The sequence below is a fragment of the Homo sapiens genome, chromosome 2 (genome assembly GCF_000001405.40).
Source record: "Homo sapiens chromosome 2, GRCh38.p14 Primary Assembly".
Lineage (NCBI taxonomy): Eukaryota > Metazoa > Chordata > Mammalia > Primates > Hominidae > Homo > Homo sapiens.
In genome coordinates this window covers 1,720,257-1,745,142 of record NC_000002.12, presented here as the reverse complement: position 1 = coordinate 1,745,142, position 24,886 = coordinate 1,720,257, and the positions used below count along the sequence as shown (strand labels likewise).

General features: G+C 48.0%; 1 protein-coding gene across 4 annotated transcripts in view, besides 3 other annotated features; it reads left to right on the top strand.

Annotated features, from left to right (window-relative positions):
• Positions 242–24,886, top strand: part of PXDN (peroxidasin) — a 113,015-nt gene continuing 88,370 nt past the window's right edge. For 2 of the 4 annotated variants that reach the window (XM_005264707.4, NM_012293.3), the window contains exon 1: positions 628–887. In XM_005264707.4, coding sequence (XP_005264764.1) covers positions 688–887 — 200 coding nt within the window. In that variant the 5' untranslated portion in view covers positions 628–687. Of the gene's footprint in view, positions 340–627; positions 888–24,886 lie in introns of those variants that run through there. The other 2 variants (XM_011510396.2, XM_047445789.1) reach the window with 2 other exon arrangements.
• Positions 14,137–14,742: an enhancer, noted in NCBI's record as "OCT4-NANOG-H3K4me1 hESC enhancer chr2:1734173-1734778 (GRCh37/hg19 assembly coordinates)". NCBI's record gives its function as "activates a minimal SCP1, AML or CMV promoter by ChIP-STARR-seq in primed H9 embryonic stem cells {active_cell/tissue: H9 hESC(primed)}" and the evidence as "EXISTENCE:reporter gene assay evidence [ECO:0000049][PMID:30033119]".
• Positions 15,670–16,352: an enhancer, noted in NCBI's record as "H3K27ac-H3K4me1 hESC enhancer chr2:1732563-1733245 (GRCh37/hg19 assembly coordinates)". NCBI's record gives its function as "activates a minimal SCP1, AML or CMV promoter by ChIP-STARR-seq in naive H9 embryonic stem cells {active_cell/tissue: H9 hESC(naive)}" and the evidence as "EXISTENCE:reporter gene assay evidence [ECO:0000049][PMID:30033119]".
• Positions 16,353–17,035: an enhancer, noted in NCBI's record as "H3K27ac-H3K4me1 hESC enhancer chr2:1731880-1732562 (GRCh37/hg19 assembly coordinates)". NCBI's record gives its function as "activates a minimal SCP1, AML or CMV promoter by ChIP-STARR-seq in naive H9 embryonic stem cells {active_cell/tissue: H9 hESC(naive)}" and the evidence as "EXISTENCE:reporter gene assay evidence [ECO:0000049][PMID:30033119]".

Sequence of the window (24,886 nt, the reverse complement as noted above, 5' to 3'; positions counted from 1 at the left end):
ACAGGACCTTTCATTTTCCCAACTGTGCTGAGCCAGGCGGCCGGCAGAGAGCAGGTGGCTGACAGGCCCCGGGGAGCCGGACCGCCTGGGTCTAATCTTCCCGCAGACTCCCTTGCTGTGCGCTTTGGGGCTTGGGCCTCAGTTTCCTCAAAAGGAATGAGGGGCTTTTTTGGAACGTTAAATAATTTCCTACGTGGTTGCGGGTAGGGAGAAGGAGAAAGAGAGGAGCGCGCCTGCGCGCCTGGAATCGTGCCCGGATCAGAGCAAGCGCTCTAAAAGTGTTACAAACATTAAGGCGCCAACTAAAAAACCCGTAGTGAGCGCAGGCAGAAACCACGGGTAAGAGAAGTGGAGAAGCTTCGCGTAGGCCCCAGGGTCCCGAGCCCCGAGTCTCGAGCGCAGAATCAGGGGTGCCAATGCTCTCCTCCGCGCCCCCGAGCGCTCGCCTTGGCCATGCGGGCCGCCCCACCGGGATGAGGGCGCTCAGGCCGGACGCTGGGGCCCCGGGTTCTCGCCCCGCCCCGCCCTCGGGGATTCAGAGGGGCCGGGAGGAGCCTCGCGCATGTGCACAGCTGGCGCCCCCCGCCCCCCGCGCACAGCTGGGACGTGGGCCGCGGCCGGGCGGGCGCAGTCGGGAGCCGGCCGTGGTGGCTCCGTGCGTCCGAGCGTCCGTCCGCGCCGTCGGCCATGGCCAAGCGCTCCAGGGGCCCCGGGCGCCGCTGCCTGTTGGCGCTCGTGCTGTTCTGCGCCTGGGGGACGCTGGCCGTGGTGGCCCAGAAGCCGGGCGCAGGGTGTCCGAGCCGCTGCCTGTGCTTCCGCACCACCGTGCGCTGCATGCATCTGCTGCTGGAGGCCGTGCCCGCCGTGGCGCCGCAGACCTCCATCCTGTGAGTGCCGCGGGGGACGCCGGGGGCGCGGGGTCCGGGGCTTCGTGGAGATCCGGGAGCGCAGGGGTGATCGGAGGTGGGGGGCGCGGAGGGTGGAGGGGGCATCGGGCGCGCGGGGGGCCTGGGGACTTGGGACGCAGAAGGGAACCTCCGAAGGGGGACGTGGGGGGACCTGGGCGCGGGGACCCGCTGGGCCTTTGTTCGCCCTGCGGGAGACGCCGAGGGGCGGAACAGAGCGCTGTGCGCGCGGCCTTCGTAGCCGCCTTTGTTCGGAACTCGGAATCCCCGCAGGACTGGGAAGTTGTTGGAGCCTCCGGGGCTCCCCCCGCTCGCCTCCCGCCGCCCCCTCTCATGCTCCGCCGGCCTCCCGCTTCCCCCTGGTTCGCGGCCCCTCCTCCGCTCACCTTTCCCCCGCTCAGGACCCCTCGGTCCCCCTCCGCTCCCCGAGCGCGGCGCAGCCCCCTCCGTCCTCCCAGCCCCCTCCGCCCCGTTCCTCGTCCTGTTCGCTCCCCTCCTCCGCTCCTCTTCCTCCTCCCCTTCCTCCTCCTCCTCCCCTTCCTCCTCCTCCTCCCCTTCCTCCTCCTCCTCCCTTCCCCTCCTCCTCCCCCCCTTCCTTCTCCTCCCCCAGCCTCCGCCCTCTCCCCCTCCCCCGCCCCTTGGAGCGCAGTGCCCACCCCATCCCCCCGCGCCGGGGAAGCCTCCCCAGAGGAGCCTCAGTTCCCGCAGCCGCGGCGCCCCCGCTCCCAGTGCCCCCGCATCTGCCCGGAGCGTCCTCTCCTGGGGTGTCCTGGGGGCCCCGCGCTTCTCAGGGGCTTTTCCTGCGCCCGGAGCGAGCCGGGCGGCCGGGGTTCCCGAGAGGGGCCGCGCGGTAGTCTCGGGGCAGCCCGGGTCTAGATGGAGCCGGGACTCAGAGCGGGTTTCTGCCTCGGGCATTTCTCTTCTTTCGCTTCTAATCCACGCGAGCGTGTTCGCAGTTGCGCTATACGTTTAACCGGATGCGTTGCGTTGGGGTTGACACCCTGTCCTGCGGGCCGTCCCGCGTCACGGTCTCCACAGCAGGAATCCCCATCCCTCCGCCCCGCGGCTCCAGGTACCGAGATGCCGCCAGAGTTCGCTGCAGGCCTCCTGTGTTCTGAAGCGAGTCGGATTCAACATTTTCGGGATCTGTGAACGCGGGCTGCGTTTCAGGCGCCGACTCTAATTTAGTCCTGTAGCGACTTTTCTGCATGCCAAAAATAGTTTTCACGTTTCTTAGCTGAGCCAGAGGACTTTTTGGCACCAGCAAAGAGTCTGCAAAAGTTGTAAAAAAATTGAGTGAACAATTCAGGAAGTGGGCGGCCAGTGCGCCTACCTCCGAAACAAAGTGCTGGGACAGACCACGGCTCCCAGGGGTCGCCGAGTTTGCAGGCTGCTTCCTGGAGGCCCTGGGGCGGGGCGGGGGCCCGAGTTCCTCTCCTCCTCCGCAGAGAGACCAAGGCTTTCTTTCCAGAGCCCGTGAATGGTCAGCCCAGGCCGGACGACTCGGGGGCATCTCACTCAACAGCAGTGGACTTTTAGAATGGAGCCGGGTGAGGTTTCCCTGGGTCTGGATAATGTAATTCTTGCTGAGCCAGTGGAAAAATGGCACCTCAAAGATTTTTCCCATCTGGTCAGTTTCATAAAGCTTGCGGTATGTTTTGCCCCGGAATATTAATTGCTTGTTGAAAATAACATGTTAAAATAAGTGTCGTAGGACACACATGGGGTCCTCTGCTCCGCTTTGCATGGTGTGCTCGTCCACAAACGCCTCACCGAATTTGAAAAAGGAGCTGAGAGTAGACGGGTGACATCATCGTCCACTCGCACAACACTTCCTCATAGGGTACATTTGCATCCATTTCTATCTTAAACTTTCAGGGGTTTTTGCAGTCTTCAGTGATACTTCGAAATGTCGCTGTTGAGTCACGTTGATTCTGTGAGGCAGGTAGACTGGTAGCTGTTAAGTTGATCGAATCCCTTATAGAACTAAACACTTTACTGGAGAAATGAACATACCCATTTTCTGGCGGTGGAAACAGAAGCTCTGGGAGAGAAGCGCAGCTCCTGACGCTATTCCTGTGGCCAAGAGGAGGAGCGTAGCGCTGGTGGCCAGAATGGAGTCCTGGCTGGATGCATTGCAGCCGCGTGATTTTTAGCAAGTCCCGTGTCTCCTGGGAGAACGTGAGGGTGTAGCTGTGCGGACCTAGGCACAGTGGACAGGTGTCATGAGCGAGCGCTAGTGAGTGCAGCCTGGGGAGGCAGGGACTGAGGGAAGAGGGAGACCTATTCTGCGGGGATATCCTGTTGAGGGGTCTCTGGGGGCATGGTCTGGTAGGCTGTTGCTTGAGATGACACAGTTCTACATGATACATGCTACACGTGAAGCAACATTTCATGTCCACTTTCGGCTTTCTCCCAGGACTGTGCTCTCATGTATATGTGATTATTTTCTATTACAATTTTTTGGTAGAAATTGGGAATATACTATATATGAAAATTTAAAAAAAAACCTGCCCCAAAGTTAGTTGGCTCATCCAACCATCACACCGTCCCTTTGCTTTTAGAGACTCACCTCCATCCCAGTCCCCCAAAAGATTAAATCAGAGCCATTGGAAAACATCTTATTGCTCCTTCCCCTCAAATGCTCCAGGAGTGTGTTTAAGCGGGTCTGATACTGGGTTGTTTGATTTGTGGCTTGGGGGCTTTGGAAAACAGTGGAATAAGCCCATCCATGACTCAGTTTGGATCGACCTTTGAGCTCCCTCAGCTGCAAGTGTGAAGGGAGCTCTGGAATGGCAGGAGCCCGCGCCCTGTGCTGCTCGGTCGGCGGTTTGGCCTTGCTGTTGGGTCTCCTGCAGAGCGCCTCCCCTCTGGAGGCCTTACTTAGTTCAGCTGTGTAGAAATGGTTGGTTTTTGAATACAGAATCATTCTGTACCCAACACAATAGAAGTTCATCACAATGGTAGTTCAAAGCTAGTATTAAAGATAAAGTATGCCGTTGTACGCCCCTTCCTTTCCTCCTCTCAACCCCAGGCTTTTTGGGGAGGTCACATTTGAAACATTCTTCTTCACGGTCACGCCGCTAGGGTGCTGGCTGGACACACTGGAGCTAGGCCCTCCACGCCCTCCTCCTGTCCTGCCTTCCTCTCTTCCCTGGAGCCGCCACGGTTGAGGCTATGGTCATGGATTCATCAAAACTAACATCCTCACCACAGTCCAGGCCGCTGCAAAGCCATGAGTTGTCCCAAACTGCAGTTCTGTGACAGAAACCCTGACATTGGAGGGGTCTGGGCATGTGGAGCTTGGGGTGGGCTCAGGGAGGTCGCATTGCAGAGAAACCACAGGCAGGCGCATGGCAGCCAGGGCGGGGCCTCCTCTCCTGCAGAATCTCCAGACAGCTGCTCCTCATTCTCAGTTTTTCTCACCATCTGCTGGGTGTTAGGCCCACGCCGTGTGCTGGGTGTTGGGCCACCCACAGAAAACGAGACCGGAATCTTGCCCTCATGGAATCCCCAGTCCAGTGGGGCCCCCAGAGAGTCAGGGGGCTTCCTGGGAGTGGTAAGATGACCCCAGGTGTGTGCAGTCCTGGTGGGACGGGGTATGGGGAAAGGGCGCACAGTGCTTGGGACCCTGCACTCTTGGTGGTCTGGACTGAGTGGACCAGCCCACCTCCCGGCCTGTGTTCACATGAGCAGAAGGTTCCAGTGTTGCTGCTCTGTGGGTCTCCTCCCGCCTGCAGGCCCCCCAGGCCCTCTGGGGGCTCTGGGAGTCTATGGGCTCATAGTCCATAGGTGGGAGTGGGTGTTTGGGCCTTTTAACTGACTTCCTGTGTCTAGGAGACTGCGTCGCCTGAGTGAGTCACATGGGTCCCGAGGTTCATCCTTGGAGCTTCCCTGACCTCCCTTGGAGAACTGGCTGCCTTTCGGAGAGGACCTCTCCTCCTCACACGCAGATAGAGGTCACAGGGTGTTTGTTGCCTGGCACTCAGGGAGCCGGCTGGCTGGTGCTGCAGAGGGGCCCGCCTGCCGGGGACTCCCTGGCTGTCCACCCTCAGCACTTCCCATGCCCTCCTCCTCCTCTGCACCCTCCTGCTCCCGGGAAGTTCCCTCACATCTGACTGCGTCTTCTGGGAGTACCCGCGGTCCCGGGACGCCAGGCCTCTCCTCCTTTGGGCAGGAGACTGCAGTGGTCCCGGGTGTGAGTGGGAGCCTGGGGCCTCTCCGCCCTATGCGGGATGTGCAGATGCGTCTGCTGGGACAGTCCTGCAGGTGCTAGTGTCAGTGTTTGCCTTCCATAGAACAGATGATGCTCATGTTTGTTGGCACAACAGAGTCAAAGACTTTATTATTGCCACGCAAATACATTTGAAAAGTACCATAGAGATACTTAAAACATTTAGATGTTGATAATTTATCTTTGCAAGGTGGTGGGCGGACCAAACATTTTCTCAGCGTGGGAGCCTGGGAGGCGGCTGATCTTCAGAGCTCTCTGTGTTCTGTGGCCAGAAGAGGAAAATCTTCAGTGTTCAAAATAAGCTTAGAGAGGGCCCATCCCCAAGACAGTGTGTGTTGGGACCTTTCCTGGGATGTCCAGTTTGCCATCCAGGGAGTATGTGAGACCCTTAGGCTCTCACCATGACTTTAACCTTTGAAAACTAGTATGTGACTACATGAGTGCCACGTGTCTGGAAAGTGCTTTCTCTTGTTAGGAAGTCAGAGTAATTGAGCTCTTCTATTGTTAGATCTTGCCTTCCTCCTCTGTGTTTTTTCATATGTCAAGGAAATAGTTGTAAAAAGAAAGCATATCCTTCTCTATGACTCTGAATCCAGGGGCAGCTCCAGGTTCAAGCGTGGCTTGATCCAGGGTCGACATGCTGTGATATTCTATCGTTTTCTCCCCAGCGTGGGTGACTTGGCTTGCTTCTCTGTTGTTCTGACTCAGTTTCCCTAGTTGCTGATGATTGGCAGCTGTATAGTTCCCTTCCGACAGAGCTAAGTCCGGTGAAAAGAGAATGCGTGACTCAGTGCACAAGCAGAAGTTTGGGGAATTGTCTTAACGGACCAGATGGTCTGTGTGGCACGCCAGTTTTCAAGACGTCCATGAGTGGACAGGAGGCCTTGCCACTGGGTCTGGAGCGCATGACTACCTTCCGGGGCCATGGAAGGCATCTGATCTTCCCGGAACACACTGGCCAGAAGCTGATGAGGGCCCCTTACCTGGGGTAAAACTTGGGCCTTTTTAAGCGAAGTGGGTGTTGCATTGTCCGGGCAGCAGCCTCCGTGGCACAGATCCAGGGTTCAAAATTAAGTCTGTAAACAGAACAAAGACAGAATTCCAGTCTGCAGGGCAGACGTCATGAATCTCAAAGCTGGGTAAGAGTTGGAAGATCAGGCTGGGTGTGGTGGCTGATGGCTGTAATCCCAGCACTTTGGGAGGCCAAGGCGGGCAGATTGCCTGAGCTCGGGAGTTCGAAGGCCAGCCTGAGCTACATGGCGAAACCCCTTCTCTACCAGAAATACAATTAGCTGGGCCTGGTGGTGCACACCTGTGGTCACAGCTACTCGGGAGGCTGAGGCATGAGAATCGCTTGAGCCTGGGAGGCGGAGGTTGTAGTGAGATGGGATCATGCCACTGCACTGCAGCCTGGGTGACAGAGCGAGACCTAGTCTCAAAAAAAAAAAAAAGTTTGAAGATCAACTTGCATTATGCTGATTCCCATTGGCTTATTATGAGATAAATACCTTTCTGATTGGAGAATCCAGGTGTTTTTCCTTTGCGCTTGACAGTAAGAAGCTAAAATAGATGCAAATGCATGCAGTCCTGCCCGGCCCACATCAGTGCTCTGGGAGGGGAACTCAGGGCTGGGAATCGAGTGATCTCTCAGGAGTACAGAGATCTTCCCCGCTCCTACTCAGGGCCTGGAGCTGAGAAGCTAATGCTGGCCTCTGGTCTTTAGTGACCAACACGTGAGCTCTCTCGTACTTCCCAACGCCCAGGTTTACTAATTATTTTAATAGTGATAGTTCCATATGCTTTTGGGGTTCAGAAGAAAATGTGATTTATTTAAAAGTACCTTTTTTGAGGGAATTCAATTTAAGAGAAGACCAACTTTACCATGTTTGATGCTTAAATAGCCGATCAGGACATTTTATATGTTAGTGGTATCTCTCTATGTGGGCCAGTAGCTCCTCAGGATCAAGGCTGGATGGTTGAATTGTTAAACTCTGCCTGCTGCCAGACCACCTGCATGTGACTTAGCACACATATGTTAGTGGGTGGCTGCATGCTTCTTTTGATGCTAAAGTAATATAACTGGTTGATAGATATTTTTCTAAATTCATAACACTAGTAATTTTTGTTTTCTTTGTTTTAAAGTTTATTTTGAAAAATAGGCATTAAGGGGGGCATGGAGGCTCACACCTGTAATCCCAGCACTTTGGGAGGCTGAGGTGGGCAGATCACCTGAGGTCAGGAGTTCAAGACCAGCCTGCCCAACATGGCAAAACCCCATCTCTACTAAAAATACAAAAATTAGCCGGGCGTGGTGGCTCACGCCTGTAGTTCCAGCTATCGGGAGGCTGAGGTAGGAGAATCGCTTGAACCTGGGAGGCAGAGGTTGCAGTGAGTTGAGATCGTGCCACTGAACTCCAGCTTGGGGGACAGAGCAAGACTCCATCTCAAAAAAAAAAAGAAAAGAATAGGCATTATGTTTTTCCCCATCTAATTTCTCTTCAGATCCAAAAGGCCACAGCAAAATAGTAAATCTAAAAGATGTCTCAGTGGAATGATTACTCATGCAATGTAAACTGAAGCTGACAAAAACGAACAAAAACCATGAGTAGACTGTCCGCTGTTTCGTGGGTTAGATTATCCTGGCGTAGATACGAGATCAGTCATCACTGCTGTGTTCATTGGTTTCTTTATTCTGGAGGATGTTGCTTTCCCTCCTGTTTCAAGCTAAGAGGATGGGAGACACAGAACTCCAAGGAGACTAGCCCGGAGGCCCGAGGTGAAGAATGGCAGCCGTCCTCCGGGCGTCTGAGGGCCTTGGGTGTTCTGGTGTCTTGTTTATTCCAGATCTGACTGCCTCCTGCGTCATCTGCCCGTGGAAAGCAGGGTTCATGCCCTGCTCCTGTCCAGATGCCCTGCACGTCTGAGCAGCCCGGAGCACCAGGGCAGGGTGTTTACGGGAAAGCAGGCTGCGGTCAGCCCCACACACTCTGTCCTACCGGGCTGTTGTATGCTGAGCCCTGCAGAGCTTTGGAGGCTTTAGGAGGAGCCTTCGGGAGCATCTGTCTTTTGTTCTACAGTTAAATCAGAAGGAGAGGCTTGACCAGTGACTGTTACCTGATTTGACCTTTGTCCACATGAGATAACAAAACTCTTATCAGACATAATTGACATTTTAAAAGGGCACATACTTAAAGTAGGCTTGCTGAGTTTTGACATCCGCCTCCAAGGTGCAAGTAATCCTCCTGCCTTAGCCTCCTACTTTTAGCTACTCCTGAGTAGCTGGGACTATAGGCACGTGCCCCCATGCCTGGATTTTTTTTTTTAAATTTCTTTTTAATTTTTTATTTTGTGGAGATGGAGTCTTGCTATTTGCCCAGGCTGGTCTTCAACTCCTGGCTTCAAGCAGTCCTCCCACCTTGGCCTCTTGAAGCCCTGGGATTACAGCTGTGAGCCATGTGGCTGGCTTGTAATCAGTGATCTTTTATGTTACTATTGTAATTGTTTTGGGGTATTATAAACCACACCCATGTAAGACTACAAACTTAATCTAAATGTTGTGTGTGTTCTGACTGTCCACTGACTGGCCGTCCCTCCATCTCTCCTCCCTTTCCAGGCCTTATTCCCTGAGACACAGCAGTATTGAAATCAGGCCAGTTGATAACCCTACAGTGGCCTTTCAGTGTACTAGTGAAAGGAAGAGTTGCATGTCCCTTACTTTAAATCAAAAGCTATAAATGATTAAGCTTAGTGAGGAAGGCATGTCAAAAGCTGAGATAAGTCAAAAGCTAGGTCTCTTGCATCAGTTAGTTTATGGAGGAAGTTTTAGTGGTTTGGGAAGAAGAGCAAACCAGCCACAACATTCCACTCAGCCAAAGTTTGATCCAGAGCAAGGCCCTAACTCTCTTCATTTCTGTAAAGGCAGAGAGTTAAGGAAGCTGCAGAAGGAACGTTTGGAGCTAGCAGAGATTGGTTCATGAGGTTTAAGGAAAGAAGCCAACTGCATAAGATAAAAGTGCAAGGTGAAGCATCAAATGCTGATGGAGAAGCTGCAGCAAGTTCTCCAGAAGTTCTAGCTAGTATCAGTGATTAAGGTGGCCACATTCAACAACAGATTTTTAATGTGGACAAAGCAGCCTTCTATGGGAAGAAGATGCCATCTAGGACTTCCATAGCTACAGAGGAGAAGTCATTGCCTGGCTTCAAAGCTTCAAAGGACAGGGTGAACTCTTGGTAGGAGCTAATGCAGCTGGTGACTTTAAACTGAAGCCAGTGCTCATTTACCATTCCCCAACCCTAGGGTCTTAAGGACCCTGCCAAATCTACTGTGTTTCTGCTCTACCAATGGAAAAACAAGGCCTGGATGACAGCATATTTGTTTGCCGCATGGTTCTCTGAATATTTTAAGCTCACTGTTGAGACCTACTGCTCGGAAAAAAAGATTATTTTCAAAATACTGCTGCTCGTTTACAATGCATCTCGTCACCCAAGAGCTCTGATGGAGAATGCAAGGGGATTAATGTTGTTTTCATGGCTGCTAACACAAAACATCTATTCTGCAGCCCATGAATTAGGGACTAATTTTGACTTTCAAGTCTTATTATTTAATAAATTCATTCCATAATACTGTAACTGCTATAGATAGCGATTTCTCTGATTAAACTGGGCAAAGTCAACTGAAAACCTTCTGGAAAGGAGTCATCATTTTAGACACCATTAAGAACATTTTTGATTCATGGGGGGGTCAAAACATCAACATGTACAGGAGTTTAGAAGAAGTTGATTCCAACCCTCATGGATGGCTTTGAGGGGTTCAGAGACTTCGTGGAGAAAGTCACAGCAGATGTGGTGGAAATAGCAAGAGAGCTAGAATTAGAAATGGAGTCTGAAGATATGAGAGAATTGCTGCAACTTCATGATAAACTAGAACAGAGGGGGAGTTGTGTCTATGGATGAGCATAAAAAGTGGCTTCTTGAGATGAATTCTACTCCTGGTGAAGATGCTGTGAACATTGTTGAAATGACAACACAGGATCTAGAATATTCCCTAAACCTAGTGGATAAAGCAGTAGCAGGGTTTGACTCCCATTTTTATAGGATAGGCAAATGTGAGCCTTTATTTTTATTTATTTATTTATTGAGAGATGGAGTCTCACTCTGTTGCCAGGCTGGAGTGCAGTGGCACAATCTTGCCTCACTGCAACCTCCGCCTCCCAGGTTCAAGTGATTTTCCTGCTTCAGCCTCCCGAGTAGCTGAGATTACAGCCATGCGCCACCATGCCCAGCTAATTTTTGTATTTTTAGGAGAGACGGGGTTTCACCATGTTGGCCAGAACAGTCTCAGTCTCTTGACCTCGTGATCCGCCCGCCTTGGCCTCCCAAAGTGCTGGGATTAGAGGTGTGAGCCACCATGCCTGGCCGATTGACTTCAATTTTGAAAGAAGTTCTACTGTGGATAAAAAGCTATGAAACAGCATCGCATACTACAGAGAAACCTTTTGGGAAAGGAAGAGCCAATAGATATGGCAAACATCATTGTTGTCTTATTTTCAGAAATTGCCGCAGCTACCCCAGCCTTCAGCAGCCACCACCCTGATCCGTCAGCAGCCAGCAACATAAAAGCAAGGTTCTCTACCAGCCAAAAGAAGAAAACTCTCTGAAGGCTCAGGTGTTTTATAAAATTTTTTTAGCAATAAAATATTTTTTAAAGTATGTATATTTTTTAGATGTAATGCTACTGCATAGTTAATCAGCTATATTATAGTGAAAATAGAACTTTTGTATGTACTGGGAGACCAAAACATTCATGTGAATAACTTTTTTGCAATTTTTAACTTATTTCAGTGATCTGGGCCCAAACCTGAAATATCCGAGCGGTATATTTCTCTCTGGCCCCAAGTTTTGTGATATTGTTGTCCTACATTTTATTTGTACATATGTTATAAACTCCACACTGTACTTCTGTTATTTCATTTAAGCTGTCAGTTATCTTTTTAGAGATTTAGATAAACAGAGACATGTTTTTATTCTTTCCAGTGCTGCTTATTCCTCTGCGTAGGTTCATATTTCAGTCCTTTTACTTCAAGAGCTCTAAAAAAAATGTCTTATAGTGCAGCTCTATTGGTAATCGATTCCTTTAGCTTTTGGATGTTTAAACAGTGCTTTCTTTACCTTGCCTTAATTTTTGAATGATATTTTCCTGAGTAATATTCTGAGTTGGTGATTTTCTCTGACACTGCTTTTTTTTTTTTTTTTTTTGTCATTTGACACAGAATCTTGCTCTGTTGCCCAGGGTGGAGTACAGTGGCACCATCTCGGCTCACTGCAGCCTCCGCCTCCCGGGTTCAAGCGATTCTCCTGCCTCAGCCTCCTCAGTAGCTGGGATTACAGGCGCGCACCGCCACACCTGGCTAATTTTTGTATTTTTAGTAGAAACGGGATTTCACCATGTTGGCCATGCTGGTCTCGAACTCCTGACTACAGGTGATTCACCCGCCTCGGCCTCCCAAAGTGCTGGGATTATATGCGTGAGCCGCACTGCGCCCAGCCGACACCGCTTTAAAAATGTCCTCTCACATTGTTTCCCATGAGGAATCTACTGACACCCATATCGTGTCAGTACAACGTCTGTGTGTTTCTGGCCGCTTTTAAGATTTTCTCCTTATCCCTGGTGTGGAGCAATTGGATTATGATATGCCTTGGTGTGGTTTTCTCTGTGTTTTTTGTGCTTGGGTTTTTAAATTTTGATTTTAATTTTTTATTTAATTTTATTTTTAAATTTTTGGACCTGTGGGTTTACAGATTTCTTCAAATTTGGAAAATCTGGGGGTGTTTCATCTTCAGATATGTTTTCTGTCCCCATCTTTGTCTCCTCTTTTTGAAGATTCCAGTTATACGTGTATTAGGCCACAGCTCTCTCATCCATTGCTTAATTTTTTGTTACTGTGCCTTTTTCTCTATGTGTTTCATTTTGGGTAGTTTCTATTTTTTGTCTTGAAAGTAACAAGTCTTTCTTTCTCAATGTCTGATTTGCTGTTAATTCTACATGTTTTTCAAATCAGACATTGTGATTTTCACCTCTAGAAAATGCGGGTATTAAAAACAAACCTTCCATGACTACTTGGTGTTTTGAACTTGTGGAATAAATACAATTTTAATAATCTGCTAACTCTAACATCTGTGGCAGCTCTGGGTTGGTTTTAATTGAATAATTTAATCTTCTCAATAGGGATTGTAATATCCTTCCTTTCATGCCATATCATTTTTTAAGCAGATTCCAGACAATGGAATTTCACTTTGGTGAGCACTGGATATTTTTGTTTTCTTATAATTATCCTTGAGCTTTGTACTTGGTACAGTTATATGGAAACAGTTTGGTTCTTTAAGGTCTTGCTTTTAAGATGTGTTGGGCAGGATTGGAGCAGTGCTTTACTAAGGCTCATCGTTTTCAACAACTGAGGCAAGGCCCTTCCATGTCCCATACCAACTGCCTGTGAATCATGAGGTTTTCAGTCTGGCTGATGAGAACGGCACTGCTCACTTCTGGCCCAGTGTGTGTGTGACCCTGTGATCCTTCTGGCCCCGTGTGTGTGTGACCCTGTGATCCCTACTCCATTTGGGTGGCTCTTTTCTGGCTGTGGGCAGTTTGTGCAGCTCAGGGCTCAGCTCAGTGCTGGACGCTCTGCAGGCCCCTGGGCCTTTTCTCTCCCTATCCCGGGAGGGCTCAGGCGTCCCATCTCTGTCCTGCCAGGTCTGCTGCCTGGCCTCCCCGGGTTCTCAGCGTTGTCTTCTCTCTTAGGCAATGAGCTGGGGCCGTTTTCTGCTGGCTACATCTGTTTTCCATCACACGGATCAGTGCTTTGTTGGCTGATGCCCAGTAACTTGAAAACAGTTGCTTCATATATTTTGTCAGTTTTTTTGGTTTTTGGTTGTTTCAGACAGAAGAGAAAGTCTTGCCCCTATAATCCCATCTTGTTCTAAAGCAGACATCTCTGAATTCTTCTGCAAGCAGGTGTGGTAAAATAAATAACATCATAAAATAATGACCACATTCACATTCCCAAGCTCATATTTAAGAAAAGATGAAAATGACTCAATCCTGGTGTTCTCCATCTGTCTTTGGAATGCTGTTGCCTTAGTCAGGGCCATTCGGCTTTAGTTGGTGTCCTGAACAATGGCAGAACCTCAGTGCCTTAAAACAGTGTGAGTTCCTGCCCCACTCACACAAAACCCCGTGCAAATGTTCTTGGCTGGGCAGCTCTTCACTGGAGGCTCAGCTCTAAGCCTTGGGATAGCTGCGTGTTTTGTGCCTGAGCTCTGTGGGATGTGTCAGGCCGATCTGTCTCCATTTCGTCTGTGGCTGCCCACTTCTGGCAGAGGCAGAGGTGAGTAGTTGTCACAAGCCAAGCTGTTTAGTCTGGCTTGGTAAGAACATGTTTGCTCTGACATTGACCCAAGGATCCCAGCTGTGCCCCGCCTGAAGCTCCACCATCATCCATCCCTGGCCTCGAAGCTGTCACGGAAGGGGAGAGAGGAGGTTATGTGAAGGCTCTCTGCTCCCACCTGCTCGGAGCTGATGCGCTGTTTCTGCTCCCAGCGCACTGGAGAGACAGCACACGTCTCAACCCAGATGCAAGGGTGCTGGGATGCGGAGGTCAGCTGCCTGTCCAGGAAGCCCAGATGCAAGGGTGCTGGGATGCGGAGGTCAGCTGCATGTCCAGGAAGTGGAAGTGGACCGTGAGCTTCTCAGTTTTTGCCATAGCTGTCCCAAAGTTTAATAGCACACAATTATTGCTCGCTCTCTTAAAACTTCCTCTCACTAGTTCATGTGTGTGTGTGTGTGTGTGTGTGTGTGCGCGCGCGCTCTCAACAGTGTTCTGTTGGCAAGGATGGAGCAGCTCTGCCTGCTTATCACTTTTCAGAGAGGTCTGTGATGTTGATATTCCCTTTGCTTGCTTCTGTGTTCTGGGACTTACAGTGATTTTACCACCTCCCAACCCAGCTTCTAATGTGGGCTGTAGCAAGTACTACCACAGATAGTTTTAAAACTCTCTCCCTCCTCTTCTCACAGGAAGCATTTTGTTATCATTTGGGGATTAAAGGCAGTTTGTTTATGCATCATGGCCCAGTGTGATTATTGCGCTAAGGGTAGAATGGTTTCAGCGACTGGAACCATAGGTCACAGCCGGATTGCTTGTAATCTAGTTGCTTAACTGAAGACTTTTCTCTAAGGGATGGGACAGATTTGGGTTTGACCTCACATGTGCCCTGGGTAATTAGAGAAGTAATGGGTCACCAGTGGAGGCTTAGAAGGAAGCCAGCAGGAATCCCTAATTCTCAGCCTGGATCATTGGCTTCTGGGGACCAGGAGCTGGATGTTTAAGTGGTTTTACTCAGATGTAAACCATGCCTCCTCCCCTGCCTGTGGCTGGGCCGTCCGCCATACCCTGAGCCTGACTGCGGTGCTGCCCTTTAGCCAAGGAGCCCCGGCTCTTCCTGTTTACTTAGCGCAATTCTAAAGTTGTGTATGAATTTGTAAGAGCTTTGGAAAGTTGCCCCACTGCCTTCTCTCCCAGGACCCCTCAACTGCCCATCCCTGTTCACCTCTTGTAGGTGTGGAGTTTGGTTGGGCACACAGAGGGGTATAATCTGCCAGGCCTGTTTGCCACAAGGGCTCAGCAGCTTTTTCTCCACAAGCTGTAAGCTAAGAATTATGATGCCTGCTCTTTTACCCACTAATTGCATCATCCAGCTTTCTTTTACAACATATTTTTAAAATATTTTTATGCAAGTTACACATGTTCATGTTAGAAAAATTTAAAAATAAACAGGAACAAAGTGAAACAAATTACTCACATTGCTGTCATTCAGGAGAAACATTAGCTGGGCTTTGTTCTCAGATGCACACACACAGAAGCATTCAGGCGTGTGTAGTACGTAGCAGTATTTGTCTACCTGTTAATATTTATCTGTCATGTATCTATTTTCAAAAATTGGGTCATGATACATGTTCTGCTCTATAATGCACTTTGTATGGTTTTAAAATCTGGGAATATATTATGATTGTGTGTCTGTTCAATAATTAGAGGCCTCCATCATCATTGTTAATGACCACACAGTATTTGTTTGAAATGACCAAATCTGCCTAACAGAATTTTTATTATGGGTCATTTCTTTGTTTCTACTTTTCTGCTCCTGCAAACAATATTTCCAAAATGTGATTGCATGCATTTTTGTGTGTGTCTGTCTAGATTGTTTTTACGGCACATTTCTAGAGAAATCTTTTTTTAAAAAAAATTTCAGTAGATTTTTGGGGAACAGGTGGTGTTTGGTTACATGAATAAGTTCTTCAGTGGTGAATCCTGAGATTTGGGTGCACCCATCACCCGAGTGGTGTACACTGTATCCAACGTGTAGACTTTTATCCCTCACCCCCCTCCCCCACCCTGCTGTAGGAACATTCTGGGAGGTTTTGATCTGCACCAGGGATGGTGGTTGGCCTACGGTGGGCTTTCCCTGTTGTGTTTTCTTCCTGGCCCCTGTTCATATTATCCTGCGGATGGATGTTCTCTGTAGCTGAGCAGTGGTGACTGACTTACTACAGGACTAATATAGAATGCACCTTCGTTGGGGAGCCTGTAATGGGTCAGGAGGGAGGGCTGAAGGGAGGGTCAGGGGCTGAAGGCACCGTCTCTGACCCCGGGATGGTGGAAATACAGCCTGTGTAAGTGCTCATGTTTCTTTGCTGAGTGACTGCATTTTGATTCTTACAATTTGTTTTTTCTGCAAATGGTTTGATTTTCGGTATGCCCTGAGAGCCAAACCATCTAGCGTTTGTGCCTGTCATGTATGTTTATTTGCCAGCTCTGTCTTTATCCCAGGTTCTGACAGTTCGCACCGTGTGGCTTGTCTGTGTCTTGTTTGATCTCTGCCTCACAGTCAGCTGTTCTTACCAGACCCATAGTCACACCGGGCCCCGCACTGGGAGGAGCTCACAGAGCAGCCAGCCCAGCGCCCTGCCTGCTGTTCCCCGGGGCGGAGCCTGGTTAGCCATGGTGGTCCTGTTCTGCAGAGCCCCAGAATGCTGAATAAAAGAGGGCTCGGCCTGTCTCGCTTCTAGAGGACTCGCAGGGCTATATCTGTGGCCACAAAAGTTTTTTCAAATCCTCCTGTTTCGCGTGCATTCCTGTTGAAGGACACTTTGTTTCTGTACATTGTTGATTCACTGACATTGTTAACGAGCTGTGGCCGGGAACACTGTCCCCCATTCCTGAGTGGAGCTTCTCCACCACACCTGTTCCTCGTGAGGGCAGCACAGCCAGAACGGCAACACTGTGCTTTGGGGCCGTTTTAAATAGCAAAATCACCAACAAAAGCACAAAAAGTGTGAAATGCGTGGCCCTAAATAGACCTTGAAAAAGACCCTGTTTACGGCAGGAGAGTGGAAACAAGAGGGCCGTTGTCAGCTTTACCAGCTCAGCTGTGGACCTGGGTATCAGGTGACTCCGATTTTTCCCCATTCTGCGCCTGTCCGCAGATAATGGCGGAGGTGCTCCAAGTACTGATTTTCGAGGTGAAGTCACAAATTTGGAATCTGCAAATAATGCGGAGGGACTGTATTCTCCGGCTGGTAGCTCCTAGAGAGAGGCTCTGTGCTGAGGGCCCAGGGACCCTGCCAGCAGGTGCCCTTGCCGTGTGACCGCCTCAAGCGAAACCGGCCTCGGAATCTGTGCTGCAGGGTTTACATTAGTTGTTGAGAACAGGACAGTTGGCTGGGTGCAGTGGCTCACGCTTGTAATCCCAGCACTTTGGGAGGCTGAGGCGGATGGATCTCTTGAGCTCGGGATTTAGAGACCAGCCTGGGCAAAATGGCGAGACCCGTCTCTACAAAAAATACAAAAATTAGCTGCACATGGTGGTATACGCCTGTAGTCCTGGCTACTCACTTGGAGGCTGAGGCAGGAGGATTGCTTGAGCCTCGGAGGTTAAGGCTGCAGTGAGCTGTGATTGCATCACTGCACTCAAGCCTGGGCAATAGAGCCAGACCCTGTCTCAAAGAAGAGAGAACAAAAGAAGGAACAGGACAGTCTTGTGCAGAATAGCACAAGACAGTGAACAGTTTAGCAGTCCTTAACCAATCTTCTTTAGGGGAGAAAATATCTTGCCTTTCAGACTAGATCAACTCTAAAGTTGTTATATTTAATTATACTATTAGGAAGTCAGAAAGAACACGCCACGTGGAGGCCCTGCTGGCAGGTGCTGGGGATGGAGATGAACTCAGCTGGCTCTCGGCGATTGACTCACAGGGGGTCTGGTGGGCAGGGGGTTGGACTCCACTGACCTGTGGTGTGACACGGTGGAGACTGTTCTTGAGAGGGATGGGAAGGCTGCCTAACTGAGGGCTGAGGAAAAATGCACCTGCGTGGTGGAGCTGGCAGCAGGTGCAGGGCATGTGCCAGCCTTGAGCTGGGGTCCTGGTCTGTGCTTTCCGGATGTGCTCCCTTGAGGACGTGACCGCACCCCTTGAAGCCTCGGCTTCCCCATCTGTAGGGGTCCTGAGGAGTGAGGAAGGCTGTGCGTGCAAACCTCCTAGCGCACAGCCAAGCACAGTAGCTGCTCTTGCAATGGATGCTACTTATTACGTTACGGCTTGCATGGAATCCTGCACATTTAAGTGCGATAAACTGAAATATGAGGCCAAAGAACTTTGTCTGAAGGAGGGGCAGCCGCTGGTCCAAGGCTCAGGAGGAGGGAGCAGGAGGGACTTGGGATGGCTGTGACGGGGCGGTGGCGGTTCTCCGGGTGGAGGGTGGGCTGTGTGTGCTCGCAGGGCTTGGTCAGCGTCAGCGGTTACTTGATATGCTGACTTTAGTTGAAGCAGATACTTGGATGCAAACAGGAAATTACAAGGAAGCAGAGTGTTCACTGCATTTGAGAATGGCAATTTTGTCTAACCGACCAGACCTATGTGTTTAAGAAACATCTGATTTTCCCTTTTGAGACAACACTTTCTGCCTTCCGGGGGTCCAGGACATGATCCGTGAGTGTGCCCTTCCCTTCCCAAAGCCCTGTCTTTATTTTTTAAAAAGCAATTCTCGATTTCTAAAGTGTCATACTCACATAGATCTATGTTAAGTCTTTGCTAAGAATTACGGACAATAAAAACGGAAATTCAAAAGCAAAAATAAATAAACAAGTAGGACTACATTAAAGTAAAAGCTCTGTACAGCCAAGGAAATAATCAACAAGATGAAAAGGCACCCTATAGGTTGGGAGATAAATATTTGCAAACTATTTATCTGATAAGGGGTTAGCATCTAAAACATGTAAGGAACTCATACAGCTCAGTAAAACAAACAAAAAACAAACAAGCTTGCTAAAATGGGCAAAGGACTTGAATAGACATTTTTCTTTTTTATTTTATTATTATTATACTTTAAGTTTTAGGGTACATGTGCACAATGTGCAGGTTAGTTACATATGTATACATGTGCCATGCTGGTGTGCTGCACCCATTAACTCGTCATTTAGCATTAGGTATATCTCCTAAAGCTATCCCTCCCCCCCTCCCCCGACCCCACAACAGTCCCCAGAGTGTGATGTTCCCCTTCCTGTGTCCATGTGTTCTCATTGTTAAATTCCCACCTATGAGTGAGAATATGCGGTGTTTGGTTTTTTGTTCTTGCGATAGTTTACTGAGAATGATGATTTCCAATTTCATCCATGTCCCTATAAAGGACATGAACTCATCATTTTTTATGGCTGCATAGTATTCCATGGTGTATATGTGCCACATTTTCTTAATCCAGTCTATCATTGTTGGACATTTGGGTTGGTTCCAAGACTTTGCTATTGTGAATAGTGCCGCAATAAACATACGTGTGTATGTGTCTTTATAGCAGCATGATTTATAGTCCTTTGGGTATATACCCAGTAATGGGATGGCTGGGTCAAATGGTATTTCTAGTTCTAGATCCCTGAGGAATGGCCACACTGACTTCCACAAGGGTTGAACTAGTTTACAGTCCCACCAACGGTGTAAAAGTGTTCCTATTTCTCCACATCCTCTCCAGCACCTGTTGCTTCCTGACTTTTTAATGATTGCCATTCTAACTGGTGGGAGATGGTATCTCATTGTGGTTTTGATTTGCATTTCTCTGATGGCCAGTGATGATGAACATTTTTTCATGTGTTTTTTGGCTACATAAATGTCTTCTTTTGAGAAGTGTCTGTTCATTTCCTTTGCCCACTTTTTGATGGGGTTGTTTGTTTTTTTCTTGTAAATTTGTTTGAGTTCATTGTAGATTCTGGATATTAGCCCTTTGTCAGAAGAGTAGGTCGCGAAAATTTTCTCCCATTCTGTAGGTTGCCTGTTCACTCTGATGGTAGTTTGTTTTGCTATGCAGAAGCTCTTTAGTTTAATTAGATCCCATTTGTCAATTTTGGCTTTTGTTGCCATTGCTTTTGGTGTTTTAGACATGAAGTCCTTGCCCATGCCTATGTCCTGAATGGTAATGCCTAGGTTTTCTTCTAGGGTTTTTATGGTTTTAGGTCTAACGTTTAAGTCTTTAATCCATCTTGAATTAATTTTTGTATAAGGTGTAAGGAAGGGATCCAGTTTCAGCTTTCTACATATGGCTAGCCAGTTTTCCCAGCACCATTTATTAAATAGGGAATCCTTTCCCCATTGCTTGTTTTTGCTTTTGCTGCCTGCCTCTGTTCATTCCTATATATAGAAAATCCTAAAGATTCCATTAAAAACTATTAGAACTAATAAATTTAGTAAAGTTGCAGGATACAAAATCAACATACAAAAGTCAGTAGCATTTCTTTAAACCAACAGCAAATTATCCAAAAAGGGAATCAAGAAAACAATCTGTTATGATAGCATCAAAAAGAATAAAATAATTAGGAATAAATTAACCAAGGAGATGCAATAACTGAATGCTAAAAACTATAAAACATTGATGGGAAAAGACTGAAGAAACAAATGGATGGAGCATTATCTTGTGCTCATGGATTAGAAGACTTAATATTGTTTAACTATCTACACAACCCAAAGTGATCTTTACATTCAATGCAATTCTTGTTACAATTCCAGTAGCATTCTTCACAGAAACAGAATTAAAGCAATCCTATAAAATTTGCATGGAACCACAAATGACCCCAAACAGCCAAAGCAATCTTAAGAAAGGAGAACAAAATATGAGGCATTACACTTCCTGATTTCAAATTATATTACAAAGTTATAATAATTAAAACATTATAGTACTGGAATAAAAACAGACAAATTGGCCAAACAAACAGAATACAGAGCCCAGAAATGAACTCAGGCATAGATGATCAACTAACTTTCAACAAGGGTGCCAAGAATACACAATGAGGAAAGGGTCGTCTCTTTGTAGGAGAGCAGTCTGTTGAATGGCAGAGTGGTGCCGTCTTGAAGCAAAACCACCATGATGATCAATGTTTGACTCCTCCATACCAAGGTGTTCTGCAGCAAGATCTTTAAACTGCAGCATAGATAAACACTCATAAAGATGCTTATCTAACCTCCTCAGTGGTCACAAGTTTCACAAGAAAGTCTGAGATGTGACCAACTCTACATGTTTTGTCAAAAGAACCTACTATAAAAAGGATATTTTCTGTGTAAGTCTCTATTAAATATTGCTTTCTGACCAAAAAAAAAAAAAAACGGAAATTCAGACTTACTTTAAATAAAATATAAGGCTGATGTTGGTAGAGATGGAAAAATTTTGACTTAGCACGGATTGAAACTCTTAGATTAATATTTTTCTGTGGGGACAAAAATAAGACTATAACAACTTTCAGGCAGGAAGATTTCTTCACTGAGAATTGTTGTGGGAAAGAAACATGGCTTTGGAGACAAAATGCGACAGTGTCTGTGTTTCAGCAGTGGAAAACAAAGGCTGCAGTTTATCTGAAGTCCTTGTCATTAAATTTATGCTCCTTTTCCTAGTCATAGCCAAGCTTCCTTTTGGGAATAAGATGAAACTTGTTGCATCCTGGCATGAAGCAAATATTTCTAAAAATCTATAACCAGCAGAGCAACACTTTTAACTTTTAAAATATCAATTAAAGCAGATACAGTTACTCATGATTGTAACTTACTCAAACGTGGGATGTTTGTATTGGCATGGCAACAGGCGGCTGATGTTAGTCTTGAACATTTGTTTTCTTGTGCATGTTTTTTTCATTGTATAATTTTCCTGGATCAGTGCCCATGTCACCCTATCCATTCACGTTTACCCATCCATCCATAACCCCCCTTTCATCCATCCATTCATCCATCCATCCATCCATCCATCCATTAATCCATTCATTCATCCATCTATTCATTTATTAGTCCATCTGTCTGTCCATCCATAACCACCTATCCATTTATCCATCCATTAATCCATCCATCCATCCGTTCATTAGTCCATCCATCTGTCCATTCATCCATAACAACTCAACCATCTATTCTTCTATCTATCCATTAATTTACTCATTCATCCATCTGCCCATTTATTAGTTCATCCATCTGTCCATTCATCCATAACCACTCATCCATCTATTTATCCAGTCATCCACCCACCCATTAATACATTCATTCATCTATTCATTCATTAGTTTATCCATCTTTCCATTCATCCATAACCACACATCCATTTATTCATCATCCATCCCTCCAGCTATCCATCCATTAATGCATTCATTCATTCACCTTTCCATTCATTAGTCCATCTATCTGTTCATTGATTCATAACCACTCATCCATCTATTCTTTCTTCCATTCATTAATTCATTCATCCATCTGTCCATTCATCCATAACTACTCATCCATTTTCCAGTCAGCCATCCATCAATGTATCCATTCATTAGTCCATCTGTCCATTCATCCATAACCACTCATCCATCTATTCATCCATCCATCCATTAATCCATTCATTCATCTGTCCATTCATTAGTCCATCCATCTGTCCATTCATCCATAATCACCCACCTATCTATCCATCCATGATGCGTGCATCCATCCATCCACACATACATCTCTCCATCTAGCTACCCACCCATTCACCCATCCATCCATCCCTCACTACTGGAATCACTGTGAAGTGTCCCACAGTGGTGACAGCAGCAGGCTGTCAGGTGCTTGTGGTCCAGAAGGGGTCAGGCTGTGAGGCACACCGTGCCCTGCAACACTGTGCCCCTGGAGCCACAGCCCTGTCCCTGCTTCCTCGTACCCCCCTCCCATATTTTAAGAATAGTGTTGGAAGCCTAGCTAGAGGGTTATAGAGAAGGAGATAGCTGTGGAAGGAGCCCCACCTGTAGACGCACACCTCTTTTCTCCTAAGTTCAGAATGCACTGATTTTAAAATACAACTTTCTTATATTTTTTGAGGGGAGGTTAGAGAAGCCTCCTTTGCTGGGAAGTTCCTCAGAGTTCTGTGTCTAGCAGTCTTTTTCAACTGGTTATTGAGAAAATAAAGCTCCAAAGAAAATGATTTGGGTGAATATGTTCCCAGTTCTTCTGAGGATCACAGCCAGCTAGAATCTGGATGCTGGGATAACCCATGCATTGCACGCAATGGATTCTGCGTTGAGATTCTCCTGTTCTCAATTTCTCATGGGAGAGGGACTGCCAAGCCACCAGGACTCTGAGGACTCAGTGCCGAGAGAGGAGACTGCGTCAGCATCACAGTCCTGGGGTGAGGGAACGGCCATGCTGGCTGCTGACCGGAATAACCTGAGGTAAAGTGAAGACGTCCACGTGGAGAGCTTTCAAGAGGGACTGCTTTGGCTTAATTTTATTCTTCTTACATGTTCTATTTTGTGTCCGCTCGCTCAGAAACTTCCTGATAGTTCATCTTCAGCCCATCCATTGTCAACACCTCTCGGGTTCATTATTTCTCGCTTAACTCTGTCTTGTGGTATTTTCTCATTTATAAAACTGTCTTATTTAGCACTTTAAAAAGCGTTTCCTCATTCACTCATCAGCTTGGCTTGCCTTTCTCGCCTTCCTAACAAGTGATGTGTATGTGGGAATTCCCCTAGGTTAGATCCCCTTTGAGTCTCTTAGTAACTATTTGGTATAAATATTTCTTGATTCCATTTTATGATTCATTTCCTCAGTGGAGGTCATTAAAGCACAGCCTGATTTGAGGCTTTTATTTATTTATTTATTTATTTTGAGACGGAGTCTCTCTCTGTCTCCCAGGCTGGAGTGCAGTGGCACTGCAAGCTCCACCTCCTGGGTTCACGCCATTCTCCTGCCTCAGTCTCCCAAGTAGCTGGGACTACAGGCGCTCGCCACCAAGCCCGGCTAATTTTTAGTAGAGACGGGGTTTCACTGTGTTAGCCAGTATGGTCTTGATCTCCTGACCTCGTGATCCGCCCGCCTCGGCCTCCCAAAGTGCTGGGATTACAGGCGTGAGCCACCGCACCCGGCCAATTTGAGGCTTTTAGAAAAGCAACAAGCAAAACTCAATCTGTTTCACTAGAGCCTGGAGTCAGTTACTTCCTGGGCTTGGTTTGTGAAGAGGGGCTTCCTGCCTGCTGGTTGGCTGAATCCTGGATGAATGCCCAGTGGGATTAACATGATTCATCCATTTGTTTTGCTCAACTCAAAGAGCACACTGGGTCTTTCTGAACAGGAACCACCTCAATTAACCCGTACCGTTGTTGAAACTATTCCCGTTCAGTTGTTTGAATTCTGACACTTCTAAGTTGGCTTCATCTCAGCTGCCTGCCACATTTGCACCTTCTAAGTGAAGGAGCCCCATCCTCAGCCACGCTGCCTGCCTGCCTGTGATGCTGAATTTTATGTCGACTTGGCTGGGCCACTGCACCCAGATATGTGCTGAGACATTATTCTGGATGTTTCTGTGAAGGGGTTTTTAGAGGACAGTAACATTTAAATCTGGAGACTTTGAGTAGAGCCGACTGTCCTCTGTGGTGTGGGTGGACCTCGTCCAGTTAGTTGAAGGCCTTAACGGAATAAAGGCTGACCTCCCCGGAGCAGGAGGGAATTCCACCAGCAGAGGCGGCTTTTGGACTGGAGCTGCAGCTACCATGCTTCCCCGGGGCTGTAGCATCAGTAAGCGGCCAGCATGAGGACTGCTGTCCTGGGTCAGGCGCCCACCCAGGTCCAACCAGCTGCGGTCCGGGAGGACCAGGTCATGTGACACACATTGCGAACACTGGGTTGGTCAGGGTTCTCCAGAGAAATGGAAACCACAGGATATGTGTACGTGTGTGTGTGTGTGTGTGTGTGTGTGTGAGAGAGAGAGAGAGAGAAAGAGATGCAGAGAGAGAGAGAAAGAGATGCAGAGAGAAAGAGATGCAGAGAGAGAGAAAGAGATGCAGAGAGAGAGAAAGAGATGCAGAGAGAGCTGTATCTGAGAGGCAAAGGTGGTCGGCTGCCTCCCCAGGCTCTGGTCTGGAGCAGGTGGTGTGAGAAAGCGTGGAGCGAGGCACTCCCTGCAGACTCTGGACTTGCCAAGCCACCACCATCTCAGCCAGCTCCTTAAAATACACCTCCCTTCTGCCTCTCTTCTCACCTTCAACCCCACCTCTCTCTCTGCATCCCTCCCTCTCTCTGTGCATCTCTCTCTCTGCATCCCTCCCCTCCCTCTCTCTCTGCATCCCTCCCTCTCTCTGCATCCCTCCCTCTCTCTGTGCATCTCTCTCTCTCTGCATCCCTCCCTCCCTCTCTCTCTCTCTGCATCCCTCCCTCTCTCTCTCTCTC